The sequence below is a fragment of the Homo sapiens genome, chromosome 3 (genome assembly GCF_000001405.40).
Source record: "Homo sapiens chromosome 3, GRCh38.p14 Primary Assembly".
Taxonomy (NCBI): domain Eukaryota; kingdom Metazoa; phylum Chordata; class Mammalia; order Primates; family Hominidae; genus Homo; species Homo sapiens.
In genome coordinates, this window is record NC_000003.12 from 119,606,350 (window position 1) to 119,631,008 (window position 24,659).

Sequence of the window (24,659 nt, forward strand, 5' to 3'; positions counted from 1 at the left end):
GATAATAGTCATATTGATTTAGACCCACTCTGTTGGCCTCTTTTTAACCTTTGTGAAGACCCCATCTCCAAATACAGTCACATTCTGAAGTATTGGGGGTTAAGATTTCAACATATGAATTTTGGGGGATGAGACTCAGTTCAGCCCGGAACAACAGCCATTTCACCATGGCCTTTAATCTCATCTAGTTGAGCAATATTCCTTCTCTGCTATTTTGTCCTTAGGCATGAAAAATATTCACACAGCTTCATTACAGAAGTGATGAAGGCTGTAATAAATGAGTGATTATTGCACTAGCTGATGTATAATAAACCCCATGCCTGCAGGCCCCTGTTTCTTGCTTCCTTCCAAGGTCATCTTTCTTCCTTCTAAGAACAGATGACCTCACCTTGGATGTTGCTTGTTTTGTTTTGTTTTCCTCCAGGGGATGCACCTCCTACCCCACAGCCAAAGTGCGCTGACTTCCAGAGCGCCAACCTTTTTGAAGGCACCGATCTCAAAGTCCAGTTTCTCCTCTTTGTCCCTTCGAATCCTAGCTGTGGGCAGCTAGTAGAAGGAAGCAGTGACCTCCAAAACTCTGGGTTCAATGCCACTCTGGGAACCAAACTAATTATCCATGGATTCAGGTGGGAGTTAAATAACCAACAGGACTTCTCAACTAAGAATGATCAAGTAACCATAATACCATAAGAAGTTAGTGGGCAACAAGGGGAGGAATGAATTTACCAATGGCCACATGTTCCATCCCTCATATCCTGCTGTCTTTGATGGGGTCTCATGTCAACATGCACACATGGTGTTCATTCTTATTGGTCATATATGTTACTTCTCCACCCAGTCTTGTCTACACACTCACGAACAGTACATGTCTGTGACTGGACAAATCTCCGTACACAGAACCTTTATTACCCAGGATTGTATTTCCCTTCTTCACTTCTTCCTTGGTTTTATGACCTAAGAAACTTCCATTTATGGGTGCTACTTCCGTCATACCCAGAGGTTATGGGTGTGATGGAGCTATGCACGTCTCTTCTTCAATTTCTCTGATACTCTCCAGTCCACAATTTGTTGTAATATATAGTCACTGAGTCTCAATTCCAATCACCATCCTTTCTTTGAACAGCTTTTCTCCAAAGCCCATCTATAGGGCTAGAAACAGAGAAAGGTTTCTGGGAGGAAAGAGGGAGAGAATATGGTAAAGTAATAGCACTATGGAGCAAGTAGAGTTGGGGCACCCAATGAAAAGGTAGACACAAAGGCTGTGCACAAAGGACCACCATTTCCTGATCTCTGGCCTGTCTCCGCCTCTCAGGTCCCTGGACTCCAGAGACTCAGCTACATGTTTCCTTAGGCATCTCTCCTTGCTCTTGTGCCAAACCCTCTCCTCTAGCACATCTCATATTCCACCACTTTCCAAGGCTGAGTGTGTACCTCCAACCCAGGGGTAGCTAATAGAGGTGGAGAGCTCATCAGGCAAGGCACTCTGTCTGCTCTTAAATCCCACAACCCCATTCCCTGGCACACACCCAGTCCGCGCTCCTCTGTCCACACGAGTGTGCTCTCTTTGCTTCTATACTGGGAGTCATCAAAAAACTTATTTCCTGATCCCAATCTGTTGGGAAAGATTTCTAAACATTTTTCTATCATTTTCCTTTTCCTGGAAAAGTCCCACTATACAGTAAGTTCCAGAAGGACAGGGACTATATCTTATTTGTCTTTATTTTTTGGAAAGCACCTAGCATACTGCCTGGCCCATAGGTACTCAATAAATGCTTGCTGAATAAATCAGTGGGTGAATGAGAGAAAGAAAGGGAGAAGGAAGGAAAAAGAAAGAGAAAGGAAGAAAGGAAAGAAAAGAAAGAAAGAAAGAAAGAAAGAGAGAGAAAGAAAGAGAGAAAGAAAGAAAGAAAGAAAGAAAGAAAGAAAGAAAGAAAGAAAGAAAGAAAGAAAAAGAAAATGTCCACAAAGAAAGAGCCTATATTTTAGAATGAGAATTAAGATCGCAAATCTTAACTCTAGGGCATAACTCTAGGGCATATTTCTTTTCCACAAATAACACAAATGGAGCAATGCAATGTATACAGTTTATGTGGTTTATGCCTTGTGCAAAGGTGCCTGACAAAAGGCTGATGAGGCTGACATCCAAGCTAAGTTCTGAACCCTAGCATGAGGCTGCATCTGCCTGGAACAAAAGGCAAAGTTTTATAATTTACACAAAGACTGCATATGTGCTGGCGGAAGGGCTGGCAACTTTGGAATTGTGTCCTCCCTATGCTCCAAGTACTGTGTAATAAACTCCTCATATGAGCCCTTCTCTAGTTTTGATTTCTTTTCTGGGTTTGAGATTAATAGAGGTTTCCATGACAATGAATATCCACTTGGCAGGTAATTTTTCCATTCTTTTTTGGCCCCCTGTCTAGGGTTTTAGGAACAAAGCCTTCCTGGATTGACACATTTATTAGAACCCTTCTGCGTGCAACGAATGCTAATGTGATTGCCGTGGACTGGATTTATGGGTCTACAGGAGTCTACTTCTCAGCTGTGAAAAATGTGATTAAGTTGAGCCTCGAGATCTCCCTTTTCCTCAATAAACTCCTGGTAGGTGCAGAAGAGCTTAGGGTGAGTTTGGGCTGCGTATGAGGAGAGAGGGTCAGAAAGACAAAAGCACTGCCTGAGGAGGCTTAGGGTGGAAGCAGAGTCACCAGGTAGCTCGGTGGTCTTGGGTTCAAATCTTGACTTTGCCACTCACAGCACTGACCTCGGGCAGCTTATTGAATATTCTGAGCTTCCCACTGCTCCTCTGTAAAATGTGTCGTGGCACTTTAGACAGCGAATGCAGATGGCCTGGCACTTAGTTGTCCCTCAAGAGAGAATGGCCATGGTCGTTACTCACATACTTTGGGCACCAAAAGGAGAGTAAGGGGGTTGTCAGGGTGGGGAGCCCAGGAAGAGAAAAAGTGATTAACAATGAGAGTGCTGTCCTTTTTCCCTCCAAAGTAAGTGTGGTGGGTGTGTCATGCCCAGGGCCTCGGCTTCTGAAGCTTTGGGGGAAAGCCTGCCACTGTGAAGCCAGCAGACTCTGTGGCCCACGGGGAACTCACTGTTCCTGCTCTTCTAGGTGCTGGGTGTGTCGGAATCCTCAATCCACATCATTGGTGTTAGCCTGGGGGCCCACGTTGGGGGCATGGTGGGACAGCTCTTCGGAGGCCAGCTGGGACAGATCACAGGTAACATTCCTCCCTGCCCATCCTCCAGGCTTTAGAGATAGAGAAAGCTTGCCCTGAAAATATCTCTTCTAAAGCAAGCAGAGGGGAGTACAGAGCCTTTGTTCTCACGATCAAGTCACCTATTACCACTAAAATTTATTTATTGTGGTTCTTTTGCATAAAATGGTATTGTGTTATTATTGCATGATTTCTAATATCAATGTGAGAGGCCATGTATTTCTTCTTTTACTTTTTATTTTTAAGTTTCTTATTTAAAAAAACTTTTAGATTCAGGATTTACGTGTGCAGGTTTATTACATGGGTGTAGCATGTGATGCTGAGGTTCAGGTTTCTAATGATCTCATTGCCCAAGTAGCAATCAGTACTTGATAGGTAGTTTTGCAACCCTTGTCCCTTGCTTTTCCTCCCCCTTTTGAAATCCCCAGTGTCAATTGTTCCCATCTTTGTGTCCATGTGCACCCAATGTTTAGCTCCCACTTATAAGTGAAAACATGCGGTATTTGGTTTTTTGTTTCTGCATTAATTGGCTTAGGAAAATCACCTCCAGCTACATTCATGTTGCTGCAGAGAACATAATTTCATTCTTTTTTATAGCTGTGTAGAATTCCATAGGGTATATGTACCACAGTTTCTTTATCCAGTCTACCATTGGTTGGCACCTGGGTTGATTCCAAGTCTTTGCTATTGTGAATAGTGTTGCAATGAATATACTAGTGCAGGTATCCTTTTGGTAGAAGAATTTCTTTTCCTTTGGGTATATATCTAGTAATGGGATTGCTGAGTCAAGTGGTGATTTTATTTTTAGTTCTTTGAGGAATCTTCAGATCGCTTTCCATAGTGGCTGAACTTATTTACATTCCCACCAACAGTGTATAAGTATTCCCTTTTCTCTGCAGCCTTGCCAACATCTATTTATTTATTTTTCACTTTTTTATAATAGCAATTCTGAGTGGTGTGAGATGGTATATCATGGTGTGATGATTAGTGATGTTGAGCATTTTTTCAAATGTTTGTTAGCCACTTGTATGTCTTCTTTCAAGAAGTCTCTTTTCATGTCCTTCACCCTCATTTTAATGGGGTTATTTGTTTTTTTCTTGTTGATTTGTTCAAGTTCCTTATAGATTCTGGATATTAGTCCTTTGTCAGATGCATAGTTTGTGAATATTTTCCCCCATTCTGTAGGTTGTCTGTTTACTCCATTGGTTGTTTCTTTTGCTGTACAGAAGGTCTTTAGTTTAATTAAGTCTCACTTGTCAATTTTTGTTTTTGTTTCATTTGCTTTTGAGGACTTGGTCATAAATGCTTTGCCTAGGCTAATATTCAGGAGAGTATTTCCCAGATTTTCTTCTAGGATTTTTACAGTTCGAGGTCTTACATTTAAGTCTTTAGTCCTTCTTGAGTAATTTTTGTATATGGTGAGAGGTAGGGGTCCAGTTTCATTCTCTTGCATATGGTCAGCCAGTTTTCCCACACCATTTATCGAATAGGGTATCTTTTCCTCTAAAAAAAGTGTTAATTTTTGTCAACTTTGTCAAAGGTCTGACGGCTGTAGGAGTGCTTCTTTATTTCAGGGGTCCCTATTCTGTTCCATTGGCCTATGTATCTATTTTTGTACCAGTACCATACTGTTTTGGTTACTGTAGGCTTGTAGTATAGTTTGAAATTGGGTAGTGTGATATGCCCAGCTTTATTCTTTTTGCTTAGGATTACCTTGGCTATTTGGGTTCTTTTTTTGTGCCATATGAATTTTAGAATAGATTTTTATAATTCTGTGAAAAATGACATTGGTAATTTGGTAGGGATAGCACTGAATCTGTAGATTGCTTTGGGCAAAATGGATATTTTAATGATATTTATTCTTCTAACCCTGCATAGAATACTGAATACTTTGGCAAATACTATGCAAAAAGCATAGAATACCTTTCCATTTGTTTGTGTCACCTATGATTTTTTTTTTAGCAGGGTTTTAGAGTTATCCTTGTACAGATCTTTTGCTGTTTTGGTTAGGTGTGTTCCTAGGTACTTTATTTTTGTGTGTGACTATCATAAATGAGATTGCATTCCTGATTTGGCTCTCAGCTTGAATGTTATTGGTACATAGAAATGCAACTGACTTTTGTACATTGATTTTGTGTCCTGAGACTTTGCTGGAGTTGTTTATCAGGTCTAGAAGTCTTTGGTCAAACCTTTAGGGTGCTCTAGAATCATATCATTGATGAAGAGAGACAATTTGACTTCCGCTTTTCCTATTTAGATGCCTTTTATTTCTTTCTCTTGCCTGATTGCTCTGGCAAGCACTTCCCCTTTTATTTCTTTCTCAGCCTCACTTTCTACATCTGTAAAATGGTTGTAACAGCCCACATCTCCTTGGCCCACTGTGGAAATAAACTTTAGACAGTTTTGTTATATACATGTAAAAGTGTGGAGGACTTTATGCTTCCAGAGCCACTCTCAGTTAATAAGGGACTGGAGTTGTGTAGCAAAAACCCTCAGCTTCCTAGCCTTTTGGTGGGATAATTTTGGGTCTTGTTTTACAGAATCTCAAAGAGGTGCCCCATTGGGGTGAGAGCCCATGGGGATAACCTACTCACTACTATTTTCCTTTATTCTCTGACCTATTTTCCTACTCCCTCACCATGCTTTCTGAGACTTTTTCCCAAATCTACTTTGAACTCTTGTGGCAGGGTCTGCTTTTTGTAGGGGGAAGGGAAGGGATCCAAACTGAGAGATGGGAATAGTAGTATTCACAGTAATCACTGTGTTATGATGAGGACTAGAGTGTGTAAAACTGCCCGGCATAAGGCCTGGTACATAGTAACTGCTCGAAGAAATTTAGCTATTGTTATTACTACATGAAGGTAGTAACAAGCTTTACATTACATTAACTTCTATCAAATAATTGGTGTTATCAAGGTCATCTTTTTTTTTTTGAGATGGAGTTTCGCCCTGTTGCCCAGGCTGGAGTGCAGTGGCGCGATCTTGGCTTACTGCAACCTCTGTCTCCCGGGTTCACGCCATTCTTCTGCCTCAGCCTCCCGAGTCGCTGGAACTACAGGCGCCCGCCACTACGCCCAGCTGATTTTTTGTGTTTTTAGTAGAGACGGGGTTGCACCATGTTAGCCAGGATGATCTCGATCTCCTGACCTCGTGATCCGCCTGCCTCGGCCTCCCAAAGTGCTGGGATTACAGGCGTGAGTCACCGCGCCCAGCCTCAAGCTCATCTTAGAGCCAGAGAAACTGGGTCATTGAGAGGTTACCTCTAGAGAGACAACAGAGAGTGGGGTTTCCTGAGGAAGGTGGTCCTCAGCTAATTCTCCCAACCCTTGGGTCTTTTCTGGGAGGGTCTATGATCTGCACTGGAAGGGTGGGTGTGTGGTGGGTCCATGAATGTTCCTGCAGCTGAGAGGAAAGAGGTCCCTCATATCAGTCTCTTCTCACAGGCCTGGACCCCGCTGGACCTGAGTACACCAGGGCCAGTGTGGAAGAGCGCTTGGATGCTGGAGATGCCCTCTTCGTGGAAGCCATCCACACAGACACCGACAGTGAGCTGGGGTGACCTTCCTGGGATGAGGGAATGAGCTCAAGGCAGCGCCTAGGAGGCTGGCATCTAGCTCTGTGGCCCTGGGCAGAGATGCCCTGACCCTCTCTGAGCTTCTGTTGCACAGTGAAGAGTTTACCAAAATGCTATTGAAAGTCTCTTCCAGCTCTGTCTCTGACCACTGAGGTGAATGGTTGTATTTTTAGCTACTGTAGGCAAGAGGATTCTCATTTATAGACCAAAAGTATTTGGTTATGAGCCTCACTTTCTGATTCAAATGAATGCAGTAATAACAGTGTGCTGAGCAGTACTGGGTAGGGCATTGCTGCCTGGCTGACTTACGGGAAAGTCATGAAGATTTTTTAGGATGGGTGTGCCTGGTCCCAAGGTACTGGGCCATTCCACTCCCCAGGCAGGCAGGCCTGTCACAACTTCCCTCCTCCCCAGATGACAAGCTTGGCCCTTCAGTCCAGTGGAGAATAAGAATCTCTCTTCCGGGCCGGGCACGGTGGCTCACGCCAGTAATCCCAGCACTCTGGGAGGCCAAGGCAGGTGGATCAGGAGGTCAGGAGATCGAGACCATCCTGGCTAACACGGTGAAACCCCGTCTCTACTAAAAATACAAAAAATTAGCCGGGCGTGGTGGCGGGCGCCTGTAGTCCCAGCTACTCTGGAGGCTGAGGCAAGAGAATGGCGTGAACCCGGGAGGCAGAGTTTGCAGGGAGCCGACATCGCGCTACTGCACGCCAGCCTGAGCGACAGAGCGAGACTCTGTCTCCAAAAAAAAGAAAAAAAGAATCCCTTTTCCAATAGTGACAGGCACAGGAAAGACTCCCCATCTCTCAACCCGTTATGACCAAATTAAGTCCTTCTGACCAGTTGGGAAAGGCGGGGGCATTCCTCTTCATGTCTGCTCCACGGCAAATGCCTGTGGGGTCTGTGCTTAGTGTGGTGGGTGCAGGGAGAAATAACATCTGTCCCTGACCAGACAAGCTTGCAGCTCAAGTTAGAGATGTCCACATCTCATTTCCTGTGGTCAGAAGCCTCTTTTTAGCATTTAAGACTCATGATTCTGAAAGAAACACATGCAGTTGTATTGTCCAACCCTTCTTCCCACCTTTATTTCACAGATAGGAAACCAAAGCCCACAGGCCTCTTCCTAGCTATGTTAGGTGAGTTAAGCTTGTTCATTTAAAAAGTGAATCCTGGTCGGGCGTGGTGGCTCACACCTGTAATCCCAGCACTTTGGGAGGCCAAGGCGGGTGGATCACAAGGTCAGGAGATCGAGACCATCTGGGCTAACAAAGTGAAACCCCGTCTCTACTAAAAAAAATACAAAAATTTAGTGAGGCGTGGTGGTAGGCACCTGTAGTCCCAGCTACTCTGGAGGCTGAGGCAGGAGAATGCCCTGAACCCAGGAGGCAGAGCTTGCAGTGAGCGGAGATCTTGCCACTGCACTCCAGCCTGGGTGACAGAGTGAGACTTCGTCTCAAAAAAAAAAAAAAAAAAAAAAAAGTGAATCCTTTCTATCCTTAAATTTGCTAAATATGTGACTTATTAGGTACCCATTTACCTAAGCAAGGCCTCTCAGGCCCCTTCAAAGTTGGAGCCTCTCCCTGATGTGACTTAAAAAAAAAAACATTCTATTTATTCAATCAATATTTATTAAGCTACGTGGCAGGTACTGAGAATATGGCAGCAATCAACACATTGAATGAGGTCCCTGCCTACATGGAGCTTACAGGCTACGTGGACTGTAGGAGTCATGAAGGGAAGCCCGGATGCCCATTAGAGAGTGTCTGCAGTAGGGGTCCGGGTGAGAGATGATGGTGGCTTGGGCAAAGGTGGTGGCAGTAAAGACAGAGAGAAGTAGACAGATTCAAAATATGTTTTGGAGGTAGAGCTGACTAGACTCATGATGGGCTGCATGTGGGGTATGAGGGAAAGGCAAGACTCAAGGATGGCTTATAGGTCATTGCTTAACCTCCAGGTCGATGGCAGTAAGCAAATAATACACAATCAATTTCTTCCAATACTGACAGATGACAGAAGGAGAAAGTCGGGGTCTTCAGCAGCTGGGCCTGAGCCAGTCTGAGGGCTCAAGTCTGCCACAGCAGAGGGTCCAGGAATTGGTCACAGGGACAGAAAGAGGGCAGAGGATGCTCTCTTATCTCCGCTCTGGAGCCATGTTCTATTTCCACTCAGTCAGGAGAGCACAAAAGATATGTTTTTGGGGAGACTGTGGAAATGTGACCCCATACACATTTATCTGAACTATTACTCAAAGGAAAACCAAAACTACTCAATGAGGAAACTTACCAAGTTTATAACATTTACTGAGTTACAAAAACTTGTGTTACAGGATATTGTTCTTGATTTTCTTAGGCAAATATGAGCATCTTACCAACAGAATCTCTTTGGTTCCTTTTAGCATGAAAAATCCCTTTAGAAAACTGGGAGGCTGAGGCGGGTGGATCACCTGAGGTCAAGAGTTCAAGACCAGCCTGGCTAACATGGTGAAACCCTGTCTCTACTAAAAAAACACAAAAACTAGCCGGGTGTGGTGGCATCCGCCTGTAATCCCAGCTACTCCTGCTGAGGCAGGAGAATCGCTTGAATCCGGGAGGCGGAGGTTGCAGTGAGAGAAGATGGCGCCACTGCACTCCAGCCTGGGTGACAAGAGCGAGAGAGCGAAAAAAGAAAGCCTCAGAAAAAAAAAAGAAAAAGAAAAGAAAAGAAAAGAAAAGAAATCTGTCTGAGGGCTCATCCTGTGAAGTCTCACAGCACTTAGAAGTGACGTGGCAGAGAGTGGGTGGGCTCCCAAGGTCAGAGTTTGAGGTCCGCTGTGAGCCGACCCCCTGAAGTAAGGAAGTTAATGGAGTTGTGCCTCCTTTCAGATTTGGGTATTCGGATTCCCGTTGGACATGTGGACTACTTCGTCAACGGAGGCCAAGACCAACCTGGCTGCCCCACCTTCTTTTACGCAGGTCAGAAAGCCAGTACAATCTGGTATTTGGCAACCCCGGAGATTGAAATTCACCAACAGCTTTTGTGTTGAGTCAGCCAGAGTGGGCCATAGAGGGTCTACTTGACAGTGTCCTTTGCTATGTCCCATAACGCTTTACTCAGAATGTATTCAAGGATGGATGTCTTCAGAGCCCAGGCATTTGAGGGGAGGGTGTGGCACAGTCCACACCAACTGCATCCTCTACAGAGCCTTGCTGTGGCAGAGGCAAGCCATTGTGCCCAAAGCTGGTGAGCAGAAGGATCAATTCACTGCCCAGCCATTTCACCATATTTACCAACTCAAACAGTCCTCTAAAATTGTTTTCAAGATGATCTTTTTGAACACATTCAATGACTGTACATTTCCTCTCTTTAAATACAGCCTTCTGGAATTTTTAAAAATATATTTATTGATATATTCTTAGCAGACTAAATTTGTCAAAATCTAAGGTCAATAATTATTTGGTTTTCTTATATCTTATGAATATAGCCAATATATCAGAATTTCATATAAAAATTTAAAATGCTGATTTCTGTTTACTATGTTTTTAGTCTTTTCTTGCTTTACCAAATTTCTAACATTTTAAGGATTCCTTTGACAATCTTATTGAATAACTACTGATCTATTTTACCAAATTTACTAGTTTTCCAAAAACATGCTTCTTTTCGCAATTTGCGAATTTCTCAGCAATTCTGATAAAATAGGATAGTTTGGTTTCAATGGCTTTTGAAGATTTGGTGGCATTTCAATTGACCACTTTTCATTTTTTCTTCATAACACAACTTGAGAAGGGTTTAGTTTGTCTCTGCCCCAGCTCCCTGTTGCAACTGGAGAGAGCTTGGCCATACAGAGTGTCCCAACCACAGGGGAAAGGAAAGTCAAAATATTGCTTGGCCTTGGTTGCAGGTCTCAGCAACGAGGTCTCAAGGTGCAGGGAGAGTTTAAAGACCCCAGGACCCTGGAGTTGTATACAGCTCACCACATACTTCTTAGTTCCAGCCAATTTATCCAATGTTGAATGCTGCAAACTTAAATAGTAAATAACAGTGAAATAAGTTTTGGTAAACTGGGATATTTGACAAATTCGGCATATCAGTCATTTGGCCCGGTGAGCCTCAGCACATTGGGTGTAGAGAGTGACCACAAACGGCGGCTGATGCAGCAGTCTCACTGCTGGGTAGGGTATAATGAGGTTGTAAAAAATTGGTTGTATGGCTGATGATAATGGAGGTAAAAATATGCACAAATACCCATTTTGAGAAATGGGGCAGCATCATCAACTCTCTATATATTCCCATTTTATGAAGGAGAGTTTGCATGATCATATAATCCATCTCAAGGCCAGGTACGGTGGCTCACACCTGTAATCTCAGCACTCTCGGAGGTTGAGGCAGGTGGATCACCTGAGGTCAGGAGTTTGAGACCAGCCTGGCCAATATGGCAAAACCCTGTTTCTATGAAAAATACAAAAATTTGTGAGGCATGGTGGTGTGCGCCTGTAATCCCAGCTACTCAGGAGACTGAGGCAGGAAAATTGCTTAAACCCAGGAGGCAGAGGTTGCAGTGGCCCAAGATCATGCCATTACACTCCAGCCTGGGTGACAGAGTGAGATTCCGTCTCAAAAAAAAAAGAAAAGAAAAGAAAAGAAAAAAAAGAATGCATCTCAAATCAAGCAATTTTCTTGATGGATTATGCTTATGTATCTCAGGAAAAGTAAAATGAAAAAAGTAGAATGTAGTAACCATGTACACTAATATTCTGAAAAAGTGATTTGAGGGGACTCCCATGCATGTATTTACAGCTTGCTGGAATATAAAATTCAATAGAGTTTCACTAAACAGCATAGATTTCCATTTGTCTTGACTGAAACCTTGGTTGTGTTTTTTCTCTGTTCAGGTTATAGTTATCTGATCTGTGATCACATGAGGGCTGTGCACCTCTACATCAGCGCCCTGGAGAATTCCTGTCCACTGATGGCCTTTCCCTGTGCCAGCTACAAGGCCTTCCTTGCTGGACGCTGTCTGGATTGCTTTAACCCTTTTCTGCTTTCCTGCCCAAGGATAGGTAAAGTGCTACCCCTTTGACTTCCTTTGACAATGTGGGGAAGTTCAAGCCCTGCTAGTTGTCCCCTCTTAATGTCCTGATGTCCTATGGTCAAGAATTCTATCCAATTTGGGAAAAGAAAATTAAGCAATGAGGTGCTCAGCCTGTTCTTACTTGGAGGTGGACGGTTGGTTCTCGTGCCCCACCCCTCACTCTCTATAGTGTTCCCTATGGCCATCCTTGCCCCACACACACCCTTCCCACATACAGGTTCCTCCACTCTCAGACCAGATGCTGCCTATAGGTCTTTCTCACTTCTGGCCATTCTCCAGTTCTTCATAGACCCTAAATCTATGACCCTTCATAGACCCTAAATCTATGGTGGGGAATCCCTAAGAGTGGAACACAAGACCTACATTACAGGTCGGATATTCTGGTGGCCTCGTGAGAGCTGGGGGGATGCCTAGTTGCTGGAGGACTTGGGCACCTTCCTGGATGATCCAGGCCAGTCTGGGGAAAGGATGCCAGGAAGGCTGCAGGATCTGGCCTCTAACTCACTTGTGTAGATCATTGCTATGCATATCCCGTGGTTATCCAGGATGAAGAGCTCCAGGAAAAACTCCTGGGCAGTGGAAATGGTTTCTCTCCCTCCCGCACTCTCTCACTTCCCGCTACCCCTGGCTGCCACTCAACTGCAGCAGCCTGTCACTGCTTATATGAGTGAAATGGGTACCAGCTTGACAAAATAGTAAAGTAGGGTAGCTTCCAATGATAGAACCAGTCATCATTATTTCCTATTCATTGTGCATATGTCAGTTTCCCCTAGATGCCATGGACCCACAGACATAACAGCCACCTCACACTGTCTGCCCAGCCTCATCTCTCACTACACTTTCTCTTGCACTGAACACCTGGTGGTGCTAACTACTTGTACTTCCAAGTGTACATCGGGCTTCCTCACCTGTGTGCCTTGGTCCTAACCATACTCTCTTCCCAGAATGCCCTCTCTCCACCTGTCATCCACTAGTCTTCAGGTCAAACACTTCCTGCTTCACCATGCTCCCACTGCACGGGATATAAATGTCATGAAAACAACTACTATAGGAGATTGGTTTTGCAAGTTAGAGACAGATTAGTGTCAGATTTCTTATAATAACCTGCCAAGAATGAGTCAGATGATCTGAAAAGCATATTTCCGTTTATGTGTGTGTTTACTGCCCACTGGACCGAGTTGCTGGGATCCCAGGACTCACCTTAGAATACAGCACATAGTGCGTGTATGGTGTAGATGTCCGTGGAATAAATGGGTGCATGAATTAATAAACACGTGGCTGGGTGCTGTGGGACCCTAAGATAGCCTTCTCAGGACTCTGCTGTCTTTGCTTCTTTATTTCCAGGACTGGTGGAACAAGGTGGTGTCAAGATAGAGCCGCTCCCCAAGGAAGTGAAAGTCTACCTCCTGACTACTTCCAGTGCTCCGTACTGCAGTGAGTAGGGGGAAATGCATGAGCTCAGCTCTGCCAGGGCACCACCAGAGGAGTCCAGCCCAGTGTGGTAGCCTGGGTGGGAGTGAATGATAAGAGCAAAGGCATCACCGGAGGTGTGGCAACAGCCCCTGGTCTGAACCAAAACTTTCAGAGTGAGTCCAACCGATTGCTCTTCAGATGAGGACTTGGGGGCTTCTTACTGTCTATCTACTGATCGTATTTCCTCTTACCCTCAAAATTTACCCTCTAGTGGGTCTTCTCTCTCGAGTGATGTTTAGGAGTGTCCTCCGGCTGCCTCCTTTCTGCACTCTCATTTCCCACTTCTTGGCGCCCACCCTATGTGGTTCTCACCCTGGCAGCCTCCAAGGTTGGGGTCCCTGGGGAATACTGAACCTTTCCCTCTGGTCTCCTTCCCCTTCACAGATGCATTCCAGCTTCTCACTGTTGCTCCTAACCATGGCATTTCCTTGAAGCTAGGATGCTGGTGATTGTAACGATGTTAAATGTGAAGTAAAAATGTGTCCAGAATCCATGAAATACATTACAAGCTAAACCGTCATCCTTCCCTATGCTATGTGCATCTTAACTAGGGTGACTATACTTCCTGGTTTATGCTGGTTATCCTGGGGTCCTGTTTGCTTTATCATGTGTACAGGATAAAGTATGCCGGCTTGGATGATAAACAACATGCCACCCAATTTTAACTGATTTTCTGATCAGCTTGTGTCAAGTCAGTGCAGGGATCTTTGTGAAAATATCTTCCTGGTACCAGAAGGCCTGGTGCCATATGACATGGAGCCTAGAGCTCAGACTCTGTGTTCACCTGGACCTGGATTCAAATCTCAGCTTCTCCACTTACCAGCTGTGTGATCAGGAACAAGTTATTTAAACTCTCTGAACTCTATATCCTTATGTGAAAATGGGAACCATAACAGTACCTACTTTAAAGAACCAATTGTGAGTATAAAATAAAATGGTGCACAGGAGATCACTAGCACAGGGACTGGAACCCAATCAGTAATAATTTCCTTCCCTTAGTCAATCAGAGAATTTGGGAGAAGAATAGTTAGGGTGTTTGTATCTTCATGCCAGAGAAAATTTTTGGCTACCTCTTAGGAGCAAAGTGGACTACAGAGTCAACTGTGGGCTTTTCATGTCCTTATCAGCTCTTTCAACAACCCAACTGGGAGACTTAAGGAAAGGGAAGCTCTGAGAGACCAAGTGGCATGCCCAAGTCTCCACAGCTGGATGAAAAGGTCAGAACTCAACTCCAGGTCTCCTGACTGTAAACTCTATACTCCTTCCTCACCACCACCATGCTTCCATCTTCTGAGAACCTGCTGTCCGCAGGCCGTACGTCTCAGCTCCCCTTCTGTCAGCGCCACCCCATCTGAGTTGGCATGCGGGAGGATGTTTTGTCTGGTGGTGGAGGTGGTGTTGCCAGGACCAGATGTCCTGACTTCTAATTCCAGCTGCTGGGCAGATTCACAGCAACCTGAGCTGGTGCCTCTGTGTCTGTGCAGCTAAGAATATACCCAGCAGGAAAGTGTGGGGAATGCCTGGAGACTAACAGCATGTTAAGGTCCCTGCTGAGGGGGTTCACAGGGCCATGTTTTTTCTGACTCTTTTGTATTTATTGTGAGACCACCTCCCCACACCTTCAGAAGCGTAGCCCTGTTGGTTCCAAAACCACAGAGGGGCACATAAACAGGCATGCTCTGCCTTGAGCTGTCACTTCTAGGGATGGAAGCGGAGTCCTCCCTGCTCTCCCTGGACAGATATGGGTAGGGAGGGGGTAGGGACCAGCAGCTCTCCAGCCACTCTCAGGCCATCATGGCACTGGGCTCCCATGCCTAGCACTCTTGGTCTGCTTTGACTTCAGCAATGTTGACCTGTGCCAGGCATGCGCCAGCATGGGCAGAGGATCTTCTACCAAATAATAATTTTTAAACAATATATTCCCTCATAGAACAGTTTTTCACATAGTGTACCTTTTCTCCATTACTTCACTCCATCCTTACCATGTCCTGTGTGATAAGTTGAGGGCTATGGCTTGCAGATGAGGGAACTGAGGCATGGAGAGGCTCAGTGTCTTAGGCAAGGCAGCATGGCTTGTAAGCAGCAGGGTTGGGCCTTGGATCCAGGCCTCCTGACCAACCACTCAGGACTCTGTGTTGTACGACATGAGACATGTTCCTGTGCAGATTTGATTCCACTAATTCCCACCCACCCAACATTAGGCCTAGCTCCCTTGGGGCCTCCAGGGTAAGTGAAGAAAGAAGTAGGCCAGGTGCAGTGGCTCACGTCTCTAATCCCAGCACTTCGGGAGGCTGAGGTGGGAGGGTTGCTTGAGGAGAGGAGTTCGAGACTGCAGTGAGCTGATTGTGCCAGTGCATTCCAGCCTGGGCAAGAGAGCAAGAACCTGTTTCTGAAGAAAGAAGAAGAAGAAGAAGAAGGAGAAGGAGAAGGAGAAGAAGAGGAAGAGGAGGAGGAGGAGGAAGAAGAAGAAGAAGAAGAAGAAGAAGAAGAAGAAGAAGAAGAAGAAGAAGAAGAAGAAGGAGACAGAATCTTAGAAAACTTTCTTAATCAATGATACTTGCTAGCAAAGGAAGAAGTATTAATAATATAATATAGCAAACTCAGCCCTGAGAATTAAATTCCTAAAGCTTCTGTAAGTTAGCTATTTTTTCCACATTGCAAATATCATCCTTTCCAGTTCAGCCCTTGCCCGTCCCCATAACAATTGATATCCCATAGTAACATCTGAGAAGGAGAGACAGACAGGGTGTGGTATAAGATGTCCTCCTCTGTGGAGGGGAAGCATTCAAGGCCCCTTTCTTCTTGTGGGTTCTTGGCATCTTGGCACCTTTTGGTGAGCCCTGTTCCTAACCCCAGGGAGCTCAGATGGGCCATAGCACTCCTTCAACTTAGTGCTGAGTTCACCTGCATCCAGTTTATGTTCCCTTCCCCAATGTTAGCCCATAAAATGTGGCAAATGAGAAAGTACAGGTAGAGTAGAGGCGAAGGATTGCATCTCTAGCTATGTTCCCATCACCAAAGGAGCCTGGGAAAATTCCGAGACTAAAGTGATTGCAAAATGCCACCAGGTTGCACCTACCCCTTAGTAAAAAAAAAAAGGACAGTGTGTTAGGGAAACTGTAATCTTTCTTTTCTTATTTATTTATTTATTTAGAGACAGAGTCTCGCTCTGTCACCTAGGCTGGAGTGCAGTGGCACGATCTTGACTCACTGCAACCTCCGCCTCTTGGGTTCAAGCAATTCTTCTGCCTCAGCCTCCCGAGTAGCTGGGACTACAGGCATCCACCACCACACCCTGCTAATTTTTTTGTATTTTTAGTAGAGACGGTGTTTCACCATGTTGGCCAGGCTGGTCTCGAACTCCTGACCTCAGATGATCTGCCTGCCTTAGCCTCCCAAAGTGCTGGGATTACAGGCATGAGCCACTGCGCCTGGCTTTTCTTAAAATTTTTAATTTTGATTTTTTTTGAGACAGGGTCTCCCACTGTCACCCAGGCTGGAGTGTGGTGGCACAGTCACGGTTCACTGCAGCTACAACCTCCCATGCTCAGGTGATCCTCCCACCTCAGCCTCCCAAATAGCTGGGACTACAGGTACACACCACATGCCCAACTAATTTTTTGTTTTTGTTTTTTTGTAGAGACTGGGTCTTGCCATGTGGCCCAGGCTGGTCTTGAACTCCTGGGCTCAAGTGATCTGCCCACCTTGGCCTCCCAAAGTACTAGGATTTCAGGCATGAGCCACTATGCCTGGCCTGTAATCTTTCTTACCTTCTCTTGCCAGAGGGACAGCAGGTCCCAGGGGTATCACCATGGCCCAGGCTGTACACCCAGTCTATGTTGGCGACACTCACTTTGAGAGCTCCAGTGTCCATGCTGCTCAAGGGAGAGTCTGGATGCCACATAGGTAACCAGCGGCTGCAGGGAGAGGAGCAGTCTCCTACACACACAGCCTGCTTCCCTGACGCTGGGTGTGTGGAGAGGGAGCAGGGCCGTTGCTGTATTTAATGAGTTAATTCTCTCTTTCTTTTTTTTTTTTTTTTTTTTTTTTGAGACAGAGTTTCACTCTTGTCACCCAGGCTGTAATGCAACGGCACCATCTCGGCTCACTGCAACCTCTGCCTCCCGGGTTCAAATGCTTCTCCTGCCTCAGCCTCCTTAGTAGCTGGGGTTACAGGTGCCTGCCACCATGCCTGGCTAATTTTTATATTTTTAGTAGAGACAGGGTTTCACCATATTGGCTAGGCTGGTCTCAAACTCCTGACCTCAGGTGATCCACCCGCCTTGGCCTCCCAAAGTGCTGCGATTACAGGAGTGAGCCACCACGCCTGACCTTATGAGTTAAACCTTTAGTTTATGTCTTAGTCTACTTGTGCTACTATGACACAGTACCTGAGACTGGGTAACTTACAAAGCTCAGAAATTTATTTTCCCACAGCTCTAGAGGCTGGGAAGTCCCAGATCAAGGCGCCGGCACTCCATGTCTATAAGGGTTGCACTTTCTGCTCCCAAGAAGGTGCTTTGCTGTTGCATTCTCCAGAGGGGACAGATACCGTGTTCACACACAGCAGAACGCAGGAGGTCAAATAAGGGCCCTGCCAATTCCCTTGAGCCCTTCTATAAGGCACTATTTCATTCATGATAGTAGAGCCTTCATGACTTAATCCCTTCCCTCAAAGGCCCCACCTCTCAGTACTGTTGCACAGAGCATTCAGTTTAAACATGAACTCGGAGGGGACACAAACAAAAGATAGCCGTATATGATAGATGCATTTTGGCTCATTCAAGATCATCCCACCATGAATATGTCAGCAAACAAGGGGAAGTAAAACATTAGTATTACAAAATAACAAAAACTAACATTACTGAATGCTTCCTAGGCACAGGCACTGTCCTGAGAAGTTCATACATATTAACCCACTTATTTCAGACCTAGGGTATCTATTTTTTTTTTTTTTTAGACGGAGTCTTGCTCTGCCGCCCAGGCTGGAGTGCAGTGGTGCAATTTCTGCTCACTGCAAACTCTGCCTCCTGAGTTCAAGCGATTCTCCTGTCTCAGCCTCCTGAGTAGCTGGGATTACAGGCACCCGCCACCACACCTGGCTAATTTTTATATTTTTAGTAGAGATGGGGTTTCACCATGTTGGTCAGACTGGTCTCAAACTCCTGACCTCAGGTGATCCACTCGCCTCGGCCTCCCAAAGTGCTGGGATTACAGGCGTGAACCACTGCGCCCAGCCAAGTGTCTATTTTTATTATCCTCAATTTGCACTTGAGGAAACTGAGGACCTGAGATTATAGGTGATCTGCTCCTGGGCACACAGCCACTAAGAGATAGAGCCAAGATTCCCAACCACACTGCTGCTCTCTGGGGTTTTTGCCCATTGCACCTTCTGCCCTCTGGCCAGTCTCTGTTGTGCTTTGGTTTCCTAGTGCATCACAGCCTCGTGGAGTTTCACTTGAAGGAACTGAGAAACAAGGACACCAACATCGAGGTTACCTTCCTTAGCAGTAACATCACCTCTTCATCTAAGATCACCATGTACGTAAGTGTCCCACCTGGTTGACTCCTCCCCTTAGGAGTTGGTTACTTTTTCATTTTACACACATGGACATCCCAGGTCAGGGACTGTGTGATTGCTGATGCATGGGCCCAGCCGGCTTGGCTGGGGGCAGCACCTACTATAGATCCAGCCACAGACACATGCTGAGGAGCTGTTCAGTAGTGGGTCCAAGTATAGCAGATTCAGATGAGAGTAGGCAGGGCAAGCAGGCAGCAGGGATGGCATGTCCCAACAGATGGAGAGGACATAGGAATCAGGTCCCTGAGAGGAAACAGTACTCTGGAATCCAGACAGTGCGGGTATCAGGGATGTCAGTAGGGAGGAGGGCCTCAGTCACCAGCCCAGGAAGGGCTAGCCAGAGCCTGGAGAGCACCCACTCCTGGGAAAGGAGAGCAGTTCTGGGTCAGTTACCAGAATGGAATCTGAGGCACAGGGTCAGTCAGCAACGGAGTGCGAGCTGAGGGCCAGACTAGCGGCCAGGAGGGCTTGGTGCTGGGTGATTCCTGAAACTGGGGGTAGTCATTCCCTTCCTTTGTTGGGGCAGACTTGGGCTTGGGGGCTGGTGGGACTACGCTTGAAGTGAGAGGGCAAGGAACCCCAACTGTAGGGAGCCACAGCCTGCAGGGGATAGGAAGTCAGCAGCCATGGTGCATGCTTCTTTAAAAAGCAACCGGTTAGTTATTCACAAGCCAGCGGGAGACAGATTGTCAGATAATGTCACTGTCTCAGTGAGAGTCCGGTCAGGAAAACAGAGGAGGTCCAAGAGAAGGAATTTAGCACAGTGAACTCATTACAAGTGTGTTGGATGAGCTGGAAAACAGAGATGGGGACACAATGCAGAGATTAATCACAACAGGAGCCAATACAACCCTAGGCTAGAGGGACAAAGCAGGAGTGGAGTTGGCAAAGCTGGGTCCACAGGGAAGGCTGCTTGGCAGGAGCTGAACCCATGGGAAGTGCGGCCCCTCTGGAACCCCTGCCCAAAGCAGCCACCCACCTGAGCATGCTTCCACTGGGTTAGACCTCACTGGAACCTGTTGGTGGGGGAACCTGCAGGGGAATAGATCAGTCCAGAGCAAACAGGGAAATGACCAGTGCACACACACTTAAATGAGTGAGCAATGCCCTGAGAGTGACAGCATAGAAGACAGAGTCTGACTGAGTCCAAGGAAATGATGAGCAGGCTTTCCAGGAGCTACCCAGGCCAGGCTTAGAGAGAATGTGACACCTCTGGTGTGTCTGGAGCACAGATTTGGGGTTGTGGGGATGCTGTGAGGCTGGAGAGGCAAGTCAGAGCCAGACCCTGCCAGGCCTTGAAGGACAGGTTTTTATCCTGAGAGTAGTTTGGAGAGCCACTGGGAGTTTTAAACAGGACAGTGATGAGATCAGATGTGAGTTTGGAGATATTTCTCGGGTTGGGATGTTGGACATGAACTCTGCTGTGAGGCACTACAAGTTTCTGCTGGAAGGAGTGCATTTCACTCCCAAAACCGTGGCCACTAGCTGGTGTTCCTTCTGGCTCACCCAAAGTCACACAGCTAGGTACAGCCATCAGGATTCCAGCACAGGCCTGCAGGTGCCCACAGAGCCTTGCAGATTGTGGCTGGATATCAGTAAGCCAAGTACCTTTCATTAGACCCGCTCAAGGTTGTGCTACTTCTAGAAGGGTGTTTTCATCATCTTCTAGCCCATTGGTAGGTCCAGCAACACTGGCAGGAGTCATGAAAATGACCCACAACCCTGACTGCACGTTAGAATCACCTGGAGAGCTTTAAAAAATACTGACGCCAAGCCCCCCAACCCAGACCAATCACATCAGGGTCTCTGGGCATAGGCTCCACAGCTACATTTTAAAAGCTCCCCGAGTAATTCCAGTCAACATCCACAGATTAGCGCTTCCTCCTCCATGAAGAGGTTCACATAACTCTTTTGAAGAAGGCACCAGAACATGATTCACTTCTTGCAGATCAGAAATTGGGGGAAAAACGGGGAGGTTATGTGTGGTCTTTTTCCAAATTTCTATAGCTTTATGCGACGCTAAGATTTCCTTCTAATTGGAGAATTAACCTGGGCCAACTCCCCAAACCACTCACTTAAAAGATTTTTCATATTCCTTGTATTTTACAAACTCTTCAGTCTAAGCTTAAAGGAAACAATCTTATTTATTCCCTCTGTAATATTTCAAAAGACTTGTGAATTTAAAAAAAGAGGGAATGGTTTTTAAACAAAATTATACATGATCTTCCCTCAGAAGGAAAAAACAAGTGATATGACTAACACTGGACTAAAAAGAACACAAAGAGGCCCTATCACCACTCTGCGAAGGCCAGAAAGGAACAGGAAACCCAGTTGGCAAGGGTGGTTCCCCACACCACCCCTGCCCCCGCCGAGAGGAACGCAGCGCCCTCCTTCTTTCCTCTTTTTCAGAGTCCCACTTGGATTCCAGGGAGGATCACAAAGGGCCCCACAAGTCAAATTCCTTCCCTAGCTGGGTGGTGCAGCTCTGCTGGGCGCCCTCCTTGATCCCCCACTCACCACCCTCAGGATCTGCTGGCTGGGCTGTGCCTTGCACTCAGCGTGAAGACTTTCCTCATTGAATCTCACGATTTTTTGCTTTTGTCTCCAGTACCTAGTACCTAGGGGGTACCACAGCCCTTTTGGAAGCACCCTGCTAGGTTGATCACTTCATACTCCTCCCTCATCTTTGTCTCAGTCCAAAGTGGTGCCTGAATCTTTAAACATAAAGGGAATCTGGGGGGGCAAAGCCAAGAGGCTGGGTTAAGACAGAACTGGATGCCATTTTCACTCTGAGTCTCCTCAGCTGAAGTCAGTATGAACCAAACCCTACGGTTCAAGTTCATAGCAGCATGTAGGGAAGCTGGAACTTACACCTAGTTGCTATGTGACTCCACAGCCACCTTGCCAGCTTAGGTAACTTGTCCAAAGCCATACAGCTGGGAAGACAAACCTGGGTTCCACCCAACTCTGTCTGCGCTTCATGATGTTTTCTTGTTGCTGTTTCCACCCACACATTCATACTTAGCCTAAAACAGAAAAGTCCTTACACAGAATTCTTTGAAAAGGAATGTCCTAAAAGAGGGTTTCTACTTCTGGGTAATTAGATCTGAAGGTGAAGATCTCCTCCAGCTAGGAATCCAAGAACGAGGAACAGTTTTTCCAGATATGAAAATCCAGGAGCTACTATTTTGTTGCAGTGTCCACTTGTTTATTCTAAAAAATCAACAACTACTTTCTTGGTCATATTCAAAGCTGTAGGTGTGGGCAGAGGGGCTGGTGAAGGTGACACAAAGGACTGTGGTAAGGAGCTAACCCCTTGGTGCATGACAGCCAACCAGTGCCACCAGCAGAGCCCGATCGGAGCCAAAGGGGAAGTACAGGTGGTAAGGGCTACAGTCATTTACTTTCCCTTTACCCTTTTCTTGCAGACCTAAGCAGCAACGCTATGGGAAAGGAATCATAGCCCATGCCACCCCACAATGCCAGATAAACCAAGTGAAATTCAAGTTTCAGTCTTCCAACCGAGTTTGGAAAAAAGACCGGACTACCATTATTGGGAAGTTCTGCACTGCCCTTTTGCCTGTCAATGACAGGTAAGCCCCAGTATTCACCTCTGCACCAGATGCACTCACACATCAAAGACCAGTCTTGGCATTAGATGTGCTGCCTATTGAGGTTCAATCTCATCATAGTGATTATCATCTTAGAAGCAGAGATGACAGACACCCGGTGTTTTCCAGAACCTCCTGTGGGACCATCTTGGGTTGGGGAAATTCCACTGTATTTGTTCTGCATATTTGGTTTCTATGTAAGATTTTATTAGAACAAAGTTTTCTCATTGCATATTTTCTCCTCTGTGGCCTCCACTCCAACTGTGTCATGGGTCACATTCATGGGTGTGGATCCAGAATCCACATCCCCTTTCCCTTCCTCTAAAGGCATTTATGTCATTAACCTTACCACCCCTGGGCACTTGGACCACAGGAACTGGCTCTTAATTGTAGGTGATTGCAGATTTCTTTCACCAGACATCATGGGAATTCAAAAGCCACACAATGCCAAGCCCTGTCTCCTCACCAGCCACTGCTCTCTTATTGCTCTTCTCTTCCAGAGAAAAGATGGTCTGCTTACCTGAACCAGTGAACTTACAAGCAAGTGTGACTGTTTCCTGTGACCTGAAGATAGCCTGTGTGTAGTTTAACCTGGGCAGGACACATCTCCCTGCATTTTTTTTTTTTTTTTGAGAGAGAGGTGTGATGAGGGATGTGTGTGTGCAGCTTATTGTAGACCATTACTACTAAGGAGAAAAGCAAAGCTCTTTCTTATTTTCCTCATAATCAGCTACCCTGGAGGGGAGGGAGAACTCATTTTACAGAACTTGGTTTCCTTTGCCGATCTTATGTACATACCCATTTTAGCTTTCCCATGCATACTTAACTGCACTTGCTTTATCTCCTTGGGCATTCGTACTTAGGATTCAATAGAAACATGTACAGGGTAAACAATTTTTTAAAAATAAAACTTCATGGAGTATCTGAATCATTTAATTGTTTTACTTGAATGGAATTCTGTTACCTACAAAAAGTTGAGATTTATACTCTGTGGGATTGGAGAAAACAGTATTGCATTATCGGTATTAAAATAGCAACTAAAAGAAGTACTTGGAAAAAGAGAGGGGATGAAGGGTAGGGAGGAAGATGGCACCATTTACCAACCCTTACCATTACCTCCTCTGGATATCTGGAAGGTTTGAGGGATCAGAGAGATCTTGGGGAATACAGGTAGATTTCCTCTGGGTTAGTGTTTCCCAAACTTTGATCTTTGTAAATAACCTTGTATCAGCCGCAGCCCAGCAAAAAACAGATGGTGCGCTCAATCTGGGTTATTTGAGGAGAATTTAAGAAAAGGACAATTTGCCATAGTCTTTTGTGGGGCAACCACAGGGATAATGCAGTTCCCTGAAGCTACTGGCAGTAGAAGCTGCTACTACCCTACCTGTGAAGAGGCCAGAGAAGGAGGGGAAGCACCAGAAGGCTGCAGACCTGCAGTGCAGGGACACAGCCAGCCAGCAGCAACCCCGCAGGGAGGGAGCAGAAGCACAGGTTCTCTGACTTCACTCTTCTTCCTCTCCCATTTTCCTGCTAGTGCTCCCCATTAAGGACCCCCAACAGAAGCCAGAGGACAAATAACACATTGACATGGCCTAACCAGGCCCGGGGCATACAGCAGGACAGAGAAGGTTGGAGAGTGGATGGGAAGGGGGTGCGGAACTAACAGATATGGCACACGCCTTCACCACTTTCCCAAATCCAGGTTGCCTCGGATTCTTTTATTCTTTAAATTCACTTTTTAAAAAACATAAATAAATGAGCTTTAAAAGGAAACTGCTGACTTGCTGATTCACTCTCCACAATGAAGACAGGGAGAATGATGTAAGCAACAGGCTGCAATTACTTCATCTGGGCCAAGTCAGCCAGGGCACTGAGAGAGCTTCGGCCTTTGTCCAGGCCTTGGAAATGCAACCAAAAGGACAGGTGAGGCTCACGAAGATGTTTAACTGTCTGCATGATCACAGTCATGTCTAAAGAATACACATGTTCCCTGCTATGTAGGCTTGCAATTTTCTATTTTGCCTCAAACCAAAAACCCTCCTTTCCTTTTCCTTCTCTTTACTCCACCCAGGTTCCTCCCTAGAGACAGTCTTACCCTGAGCTGTATTACGCTGCACTTCCATTT

The 24,659-nt window shown here is 45.8% G+C and overlaps 1 protein-coding gene across 6 annotated transcripts in view, besides 2 other annotated features; it reads left to right on the forward strand.

Annotated features, from left to right (window-relative positions):
- The window catches only part of PLA1A (phospholipase A1 member A), a 31,927-nt gene extending 8,465 nt beyond the window's left edge, over positions 1–23,462 (forward strand). For 3 of the 6 annotated variants that reach the window (XM_017006572.2, NM_015900.4, NM_001293225.2), the window contains 10 exons: positions 425–626; positions 2,421–2,598; positions 3,119–3,227; positions 6,668–6,769; positions 9,663–9,752; positions 11,670–11,837; positions 13,214–13,303; positions 18,775–18,883; positions 22,352–22,516; positions 23,035–23,462. In XM_017006572.2, coding sequence (XP_016862061.1) covers positions 3,185–3,227; positions 6,668–6,769; positions 9,663–9,752; positions 11,670–11,837; positions 13,214–13,303; positions 18,775–18,883; positions 22,352–22,516; positions 23,035–23,119 — 852 coding nt within the window. In that variant the 5' untranslated portion in view covers positions 425–626; positions 2,421–2,598; positions 3,119–3,184 and the 3' untranslated portion in view covers positions 23,120–23,462. Of the gene's footprint in view, positions 1–424; positions 627–2,420; positions 2,599–3,118; positions 3,228–6,667; positions 6,770–9,662; positions 9,753–11,669; positions 11,838–13,213; positions 13,304–18,774; positions 18,888–22,351; positions 22,517–23,034 lie in introns of all 6 variants that reach the window. The other 3 variants (NR_120610.2, NM_001206960.2, NM_001206961.2) reach the window with 3 other exon arrangements.
- Positions 6,352–6,514: a silencer, noted in NCBI's record as "fragment chr3:119331548-119331710 (GRCh37/hg19 assembly coordinates)". NCBI's record gives its function as "represses an EF-1alpha promoter that drives an FKBP-Casp9 reporter gene in an ReSE screen in phorbol 12-myristate 13-acetate-treated (for megakaryocytic differentiation) K562 erythroleukemia cells {active_cell/tissue: K562(+PMA)}" and the evidence as "EXISTENCE:reporter gene assay evidence [ECO:0000049][PMID:32094911]".
- Positions 17,776–17,975: an enhancer, noted in NCBI's record as "active region_20318". NCBI's record gives its function as "activates an Ori minimal core promoter by ATAC-STARR-seq in GM12878 lymphoblastoid cells {active_cell/tissue: GM12878}" and the evidence as "EXISTENCE:reporter gene assay evidence [ECO:0000049][PMID:35858748]".